The 8,886-nt window shown below is 48.3% G+C and overlaps 1 long non-coding RNA gene across 1 annotated transcript, besides 1 other annotated feature; it reads right to left on the reverse strand.

The window, feature by feature from the left end:
* Positions 1 to 4,654: 4,654 nt before the first annotated feature.
* On the reverse strand, positions 4,655 to 8,062 carry LOC105370008 (uncharacterized). The gene is made up of 3 exons (XR_945395.3): positions 7,512 to 8,062; positions 6,444 to 6,559; positions 4,655 to 4,778 (listed from the first exon to the last, which is right to left on the reverse strand). It is a non-coding gene; the product is annotated as an uncharacterized LOC105370008 (long non-coding RNA).
* Positions 8,087 to 8,216: a silencer, noted in NCBI's record as "silent region_4902". NCBI's record gives its function as "represses an Ori minimal core promoter by ATAC-STARR-seq in GM12878 lymphoblastoid cells {active_cell/tissue: GM12878}" and the evidence as "EXISTENCE:reporter gene assay evidence [ECO:0000049][PMID:35858748]".

Here is an 8,886-nt window from a genome sequence, read left to right on the forward strand (position 1 = left end):
CCTCATCTTTAAATTGGACATAATGTCTTCCACCTGATGGAGTTCTTGGAGGATTAAATACAGGTGAAACACCTAGCACAGAGTATTAGGTTGGTGCAAAAGTAATTGCGGTTTTTGCCATTTAAAAGTAATAATTGGGCCAGGTGCGGTGGCTCATGCCTGTAATCCCAGCACTTTGGGAGGCTGAGGTCGGTGGATTGCCTGAGCTCCGGAGTTCAAGACCAGCCTGGCCAACATGGTGAAACCCTGTCTCTACTAAAAATACAAAAAATTTGCCGGGCGTGATGGCGCACGCCTGTAGTCCCAGCTACTAGGGAGGCTGAGGCAGGAGAATTACTTGAACCTGGGAAGTGGAGGTTGCAGTGAGTCGAGATCACACCACCAGACTCCATCCTGGGTGACAGAGCAAGACGCCATCAAAAAAAAAAAAAAAAGTAATAATTGGGCCAGGCATGGTGGCTGACACCTGTAATTCCAGCATTTTGGGAGGCCAAGGTAGGTGGATCACTTGAGGTCAGGAATTCAAGACCAGCCTGGCCAACATGGCAAAACCCTATCTTTACCAAAAATACAAAAATTAGCCAGATGTGGTGTTGGGTGCCTGTACTCCCAGCCGTTTAGGAGGCTGAGGCAGGAGGATTGCTTGAACCCAGGAAGCAGAGGTCGCAGTGAGCCAAGATCGCACCACTGCACTCCAGCCTAGGTGACAGAGTGAGACCATGTCTCAAAAAAAACAAAAACAAAAACAAAAATCATAAGTAATAACTGTTCAGTAAGTGATTGTTCTTTTTAAAAATCATGGTGTATGCCAGGCAAGATGGCACATAACTATTGTCCCAGCTACTCAGGAGGCTGAGGCAGAAATATAGCTTGAGCTCAAGACTTTGAGTTTAGCCTGGGCAATATAGAGGGACTGTCTCTTAATAAATAAAAGGTATAAAATACCTCATAAAATTTACATTTTAACCATTTTAAGTGTATAGTTCAAGTGGTTTTTCATACATTCAAATTGTTGTGTCCATAAGTATTTTTATCAATACTGCTATATTATGTCACAAGTCTTTTTTTGTTTGTTTGTTTTTCAAAAGAGGGTCTCACTTTTTCACCCAAGCTGGAGTGCAGTAGCATGATCATAGCTCACTGCAGCCTCAAACTCCTGGGATCAAGTGATCCTCCTGTTTCAGCCTCCCAAGTAGCCAGGAATACAGGTGTTCACCACCATGCCCAGCTAATTTTATTTTTTTGTAATTTTTTGTAGAGATGGGTTCTTGCTATGTTGCCCAGGCTTGTCTTGAACTCCTTGCTTCAAACCATCCTCCCACCTCAGCCTCCCAAAGGGCTGGGATTACAGGCTTGAGCCACCACACCCAGCTAATTTTATTTTTTGTATTTTTTTTTTTTTTGGTAGAGAATGGGTCTTGCTATATTGCCCAGGCTGGTTCTGAACTCCTTGCTTCAAACCATCCTCCCACCTCAGCTTCCCAAATTGTTGTGATTACAGGTGTGAGCCACCATGCCTGGCCTGTGTCAAATGTCTTAATAGTGTGGATTTTGCTAGAGACAGGACATGCTATTCTGAACCGGTCATGGACTTGCCTAGGTCTCTGCTTTCTCTAGTTCATTTCATCCTCTCAAGAATCCTGGGAGGTTTTCTCATTTCCATTTCTATTGGAGAGCTCTAACGATGTGCCCGAGGGCACTTGGCAGCAAGTGGCAGAGCTGAGACCAGCCCCCAGACCCACGGATCTGTCCACTACCTATCAATAACCACTTGCTGAATTGTGATGAACCCAGTCTGACCAAATCGCTTCTCTGAGGTTCTGACTTTGACACTGGGAGGGGCGTAGCTAAAATGAGAAAAGAGGCAGCCCCATTCCAGGACAGGTGAATGACATGGGAGCTCTGGCATCCTCAGCCCAGACAGCAGCACAGGGCAGGGGCTGAGAGAGCCTTGTCGAGCTGCTGATGTCTTTATGCAGCCAGGACTGACTCCACGGTAGCAGGCCCAGCATGCATCACCCCTGTGACAAATGATAAAGATCTCATTCGGCATACGAGATCCACTTGAGGAACTGAATGGAGACAATTGAAAAGCGCTCCACACCGGCCACTGAAGCTGAAGCCCGCAGAGCCGGATGATGTAAGGTCTTCTGTGTGGATTTGCTGATTCTGGAGATTTTAACTATTTGGGCTTTATTAGTCTCTGGGCCTCCTCGTGGGGAACTGAAGTGCTGGAACTCGGGGAAGACCTGACTTGTCAAGTCCATAGTATCAGAGCATTCAGACAGGCTGAGTGTCTGATTTCGGCCAATCAAGTTTCATTTTGAAGACTAACTATGATGGATTACGATGGCTTTCTAATTCCTCACTGCCTCCCTGGGAAACTTTTTTTTTTTTTTTTTTTTTTTTTGAGATGGACTTTCACTCTGTCCCCGAAGCTGGAGTGCGGTGGCACGATCTTGGCTCACTGCAACCTCTGCAGTTCAAGCGATTGTCCTGCCTCAGCCTCCCCAGTCACTGGGATTACAGGCATGCACCACCACGCTTGGATAATTCTTGTATTTTTGGTAGAGATGGGATTTTGCCATGTTGGCCAGGCTGGTCTCGAACTCCTGACCTTAGATGATCCACCCGCCTCAGCCTCCCAGAATGCTGGGATTGTAGGCGTGAGCCACCACGCCTCCTGGGAAACTCCTAAAGGGGCCCCTCTTCCGTATTTCCTTGTCCACAGGAACAAATATTTGCCCTTGCAATTAGATCCCTCCTACTGCCACCATTGCTGTATTTCAGCAATTCATGAGAGCCTGACAAATGCTAGTTAACCAGCTTACTGCAGTACAACTGACCCCTTGAGCGTGTGAGTGAATGTGACAAGTGGCTGGTGACATGCTCAAGTCACTCATTTGTGTCGCCAAGTTTAGCCATTTGACTGTGTGCTTCTAAGTTAAAGAGTGTCACCTCAGGTGATTCCAGTTCAAAGCGCCTTGGGAAACAATCATGAAATTAGCTGATAAATGTGATAGTCATGGTGTACACAGGGCGTGGGACGCTGGATAAAACCTAAAGAGACCTGACCCACTGCCCTCTAGGTGCTTAGCCTCTGACCACACCAAGCTAGCGACATTCCAATCTCTCATAAAAAGCATTTCAAAATGAAAGAGACTGGGCAAATAAATCGTGGTACATGCACGGAATGCGATGGCCTTCAGGCATTGAAAAGAAAGAAGTACGTTTCCCATACTACGGGGATTTGCTCACCTAACTTCCCACCTGTACACTTCTTTTTTTTTTTTTTTTTTTGAGACAGAGTCTCACTCTGTTGCCCAGGCTGGAGTGCACTGAATGGATCTCAGCTCACTGCAGCCTCCACCTCCTGGGCTCAAGCGACTCTCCTGCCTCAGCCTCCCAAGTAGCTGGGATTACAGGCACACGCCACCAAGGCCAACTAATTTTTATATTTTTAGTAGAGACGGGGTTTCACCATGTTGACCAGGCTGATCTTGAACTCCTGACCTCAAGTGATCTGCCCGCCTGGACCTCCCAAAATGCTGGGATTACAGGCGTGAGCCACCTCGCCCAGCCCCACCTGTATACTTTTGCATATGCTGTTCCCTCCATCTGAACACTTTTCCATCTGTCTCAATCCCCAAGAACATGCATTTGGCATACAGTAGATGTTTAACAGATGAGCCAGCTCTCACAGCTTTTCCCTCCTCAGGGGTTCACAAAGCAGGCCAGTTATCCTATGCCCAAGGGATGGGTCTGTGGTTTATGGGGTCAGCTGGGAGTAGGAAGAGAGATTGATCTGGGCATATTTGAAAGAAGAGATCCGCAGTGTATAGTTAAGTGAAAAAAGTAGGTTACAAGCAGTGTATATCTTATGACCCACTTTTTGGTAAAAAGAAAATCCCTTATTTACATGTTTGTTTATGCATAAAAACGTCTGGCAGGGTCCACACCACATTAACGTTGATTACCTCTAGGGATGGTGGAGTTGAAGCATGAAGAGAGAAACTTTTGGCTTTCTATTTTCTACTTTCTAAAGTGTTTTTTTTCTTATTTTTAACAATGGGCATTGTATTAATTTTGTAATTAAAAATCTAATAAAGATTTTTTAATGTGCTTGGGGGAATAGAATAGCTATACTTCCAAAATATTTGCAGTTGGACTTTGTTGCAGATGTACCAAGCTGCTCTGTTAGTTATCATGTTGGGTGTGTGTATTTTATTTTATTCTTTTAAGAGATGAGGTCTTGCTCTGTTGCCCAGGCTGGAATGCAGTGGAGTGATCATAGCTCACTGCAGCCTTGACCTCCTGGGGTCAAGCAATCCTCCCGCCTCAGCCTGCCGACTAGCTGGGACTATAGGGACACACCACCACGCTTGGCAATTTTAACCATACCTGGCCATTTTAACCTTGTCCAGCTAATTTTTTTTTTTAATGTAGTGGCAGGGTCTGTGTTTTATTCTTTCGACCAGACTGTGGACTCCACAAGGGCAGGAACTGGGTCTAATGACGATATCAATAACACTAGCCCCAACACTAACTCCACGATTTGCTGAATGCTAAACATGCTGCATGCATCTCTGAGTATAATTTCACTTGCCTGTAAGTCTTCAGATACCCTATGATGCTCTGGACAGCCATAAGGACATAAATGTGAAGATTTTTTATTGAAAAGTGCAACTGGCAATGCTCTAGAGAAATAGATACAATTGCAACTCTCTCATTCAACCACGAAAGCTTTTCTCCACGAACAGGACTTTAACATGTCCCACCTAAGGGAAGAAGACAGTAGGATTAATGCAGAGGGCAGGTTCCACCTCCCAACCAATTTGGAACTCTAAAGGGCTGAGTTCGGAACACACTTGGTCATGTTTCCCGAAGTGTGTACTGTCATGCCTGCCTGCACAGTGTTCTATGAAAGCATTCCATGCATAATTCTATTTGGAAAATGCTTTTTGCTACTGATCCTCTTGGAGATTCCCATGCCTGTGAACACATTAAAGGCTCTGAAAAGTCCTGCTGTAAAGAAGCAGGTTTGACTTGGTTGATCCCTCCCAAATTTCCCCAGTTCATTTGTTCACAGAGCCTATGATCTCATGAACAATTCTGAACATGTTCCTGTAATATGCATTGGAAAATGCTGCCCTGGAATGTTCTCAGCCAGCTGCCACCAAGAAATGTCTGATTCCATTTGGAGACAGATCAGGCTTGAAATTGTCAGAAACTGATATTCCAAGTTTCCTTCACTCTGGTTGTATCCAAAAGATGACAAAGATGGGTTTGTAGCATGGATGGAAGCAGCACATCCTATTTCCCAACTGCTGAGAGAACACACCACGCTAATCCTTGGTGCTTTCCGAAAGAGATGATGTCATCACTGTTTAGCACCATGTGCAAAGTGCCAGGAAAATAACATGGGATCTGGGGTCAGACATACCTGAGTTCAGATACCAGTTCTACCATGGACTCACTGTGTGACCTTGGGTAGGTCACTGTACCTCTCTGAGCCTTAAAAATGGGAATTAAAGGCCGGGCTTGGTGGCTCATGCCTGTAATCCCAGCACTTTGGGAGACAGAGGTGGGCAGCTCACTTGAGACCAGGAGTTTGAGACTGGCCTGGCCAACATGGTGAAACCCCGTCTCTACTAAAAAATTAAAAAAATTAGCCTGGCATGGTGGTGCAGCCTGTAGTCCCAGCTACTCCGGAGGCTGAGACAGGAGAATCGCTTGAACCCCGGTGGCGGAGGTTGCAGTGAGCTGAGATGGCGCCACTGCACTCCAGCCTGGCAACAGAGCAAGCCTCTGTCTCAAAAAAAAAAAAAAAAAAAAAAAAAAAAAAAAAGAGGGGGATTAAAATGCCTCCCTTGAAGACTTGTTTGAGGAGCGGACATACTATACAGGGGATGCTTGAGGAGAGTTGCTACAGTATTCCTTCCAAGTTATTTACTCCTACTGAGGTAGGAGGCGGAATTCGACTCCAGAGGTGGGGTTGGGACACGGGAACAGACTGAGGACTAGTTAAAGCAGGGCCGGCAAAAGCAGCTTTCTATCAGACGCGCCCACCGGTGTGCCACGTCAATTTACCATTGCCATGGCAACACCTGGGCGTTACCGCCCCTTTCCATGGCAACGACCCAATGATTACTACCCCTTCCCGAGAAGTTTCTGCATGAACCGCCCCTTAATCTGCATGCAATTTAAAGTAGGTATAAATACGACTGCAAAACTGCCCTGAGCTGCTACTCTCTGTCTATGGGGTAGCCCTGCTCTGCGGGAGCGGTCACGGAGCTGTAACACGGCCTCTTCAATAAAGCCGTTTTCCTTCTACCTCTGGCTTGCCCTTGAATTCTTTCCTGGGCAAAGCCAAGAACCCAGGCGCTAAGCTGCACTTTGGGGCTCGCCTGCCTGGCATCACTACTGCTGCTCGGCTCACCCACCTTGGAATGGTGGAGGTCTCTCTTTGCTTCTCTCAGTTTCTATCCCCCCAAAGACTAGGAGTGCTCTTTGGCCCAGGAAGTACGTGGTCTGTGGAGTTGTAAGACTTCCAAGGACACTACAGGGAAAGAGGGCAGATGTAAAATAAAATTCGTCTGATACAGCAAAAGTCTGAATTGTAAAATCTTGGAAAGAAATGCCATCTCAAAACTTTTCGAATTGTTAACAATAAAACCAAGGCACCATCAGTCTATGAGAATCTTGTAAGTGCTCTTAAAAGTAGATAAGAAAAAGGCCGGGTGCGGTGGCTCACGCCTGTAATCCTAGCACTTTGGGAGGCCGAGGCGGGTGGATCACGAGGTCAGGAGTTCAAGACCAGCCTGGCCAAGATGGTGAAACCCCGTCTCTATTAAAAATAAAAAAAATTAGCCGGGCGTGGTGGCACGTGCCTGTAATCCCAGCTACTCCGGAGGCTGAGGCAGAGAATTGCTTAGGAGGTTGCAGTGAGCCGAGATCGCGCCACTGCACTCCAGCCTGGGCGATAGAGCAAGACTCTGTCTCAAAAAAAAAAAAAAAAAAGTAGGTAAGAAACAAAAAAAAAAGGTCAGCTGTGGTGGTTCATGCCTGTAACCCTAGCATTTTGGGAGGGCGAGGCAGGCGGATGGCTTAAGCCCAGGAGTTCGAGTCCAGCCTGGGCAACATAGCGAAACCTCGTCCCTAATAAAAATAAATTAAAAATAGGGCCAAGCGTGGTAGTTCATGCCTGTAATCCCAGCGCTTTGGGAGGCCGAAGTGGGCAGATCACTTGAGGTCAGCAGTTCGAGACTAGCTTAGCCAACATGATGAAACCCCATCTCTACTAAAAATACAAAAATTAGCTGGGCGTGGTGGCACGTGACTGTAGTCCCAACTCGGGAGGCTGAGGCACGAGAATTGCTTGAACCCGAGAGGCGGAGGTTGCAGTGAGCTGAGATCGTCCCACTGCACTCCAGCCTGGGCGACAGAGTGAGACACTGTCTCAAAAAAATAACATAAAAATAAAACAAAAAATAATTAAAAAAAACTTTTACCTGCTTGTGGCAGAAACAGATACACGTATTACCCTTGGAGTCCCCAGCCTTGGGTTGCAACGTGAGCACCACAGTTTGCTTGCTGAGTGACCCTCAGGAAACAACTAAACGTCTGTGCTTCCAGTTCGTCACGTGTGAGATGAAAAGAGGAGTATCAAACCTCACAGGAGTCATGCTGTAAATCCCTGCAACCTGCCAGCTCAGGACCTGGCCCAGGGTCGGCACCCAACATTGCTGTTATCGCTCTCATTATTACGCACTGGGTGTTCGGTTCCTTTTCCTTTTGCCAATACTCTTTCTCCTCTTCTGTCCCACTTTATTTCCCTGTGCCACCTCCCCTACATTCTTTTTTTTTTTTTTTTCCTTTGCCATCAATAGGGAAAATCAAAATAAATCAAACCAAGCCAACGCCAAGCTCTGCAAGCTCTCAGCGGCTCCAGCGTTTTCAAGGAGCGGGGTCAAGGTCAAAGGGCCCCTCCCAGGCTGCCCGGGCGGGGCTGTAGTGGGATGCTGGTCCCCAGGCTGCGCCTCGGTTCTCCAGGGCGAAACGCAGGGGCGGGGCCGTGCAGGGGCTGGGCGTCGCCGCCGGAGAGGGTCCCAGCGCGCCCAGGCCTCCCGCAGGCGGGACGCGGCGTCGGGGGGCTGCTGCGCTGCTCGGCCCCAGCGGGCCCGCCGCGCCGCCGCGGCTCTGGCTGCCTCCTGCATGCCAATTAGGCCCTAATTTGATTTCTGTTCTATCTGTGCGAACCCCATTAAAACCCAATTCCGCTTATTACCAACAGCTTTCTTGCAACGCGACGCCTCTCCCTCCCAGGGCCGCTGCTCAGGCGCGCCGAGGAGCCAGGCTCCGCGCACCAGGCTGGCGGGGACACCTTCCCCGTTCCCCCTGCCCTGGGACGTGCAGGGTCCCCGCTGATTCCCGCCCCGGGGCTCCCCGGGTCCAGGCTGGGGCCCAGGGACTGGGGCAGGCTCCAAGTCACCAGCTTCATAAGAAGCAATGGAATCGTAGAAAACTGGAATCGAGGGTTGTTGGGAACTCAGAGGTCACCAGGTCCCCCCTCCCCACCCCCTGCAGGAATTCTGGAGACGCCTGGGCGATCATCAGTCCCCCACCCACGCTTGGGCTGTTCCCAGCGCGGGGAAGTTCCCTCCCTCCTTCCAGGAAGCCTGGCTGGGTTCAACTGTCCTCCCCTCTGCTGTATGATTTTAAGTAAAGCTCTCCACCACTCTGAGCCGCTGTCTCGTGTCCTCCTCTATAAAACAGGACCTTTAGGGAAGATAACCTTGCCTCCTAGGGCTGTTGGGAGGATAAGACACAACGAAGACCTGAAAGAGTGGTACAGGGTGAACACCCGACAGCTATGGGGCCTGACTC

The sequence above is a fragment of the Homo sapiens genome, chromosome 12, assembly GCF_000001405.40.
Source record: "Homo sapiens chromosome 12, GRCh38.p14 Primary Assembly".
In the NCBI taxonomy this organism is placed as follows: Eukaryota; Metazoa; Chordata; class Mammalia; order Primates; family Hominidae; genus Homo; species Homo sapiens.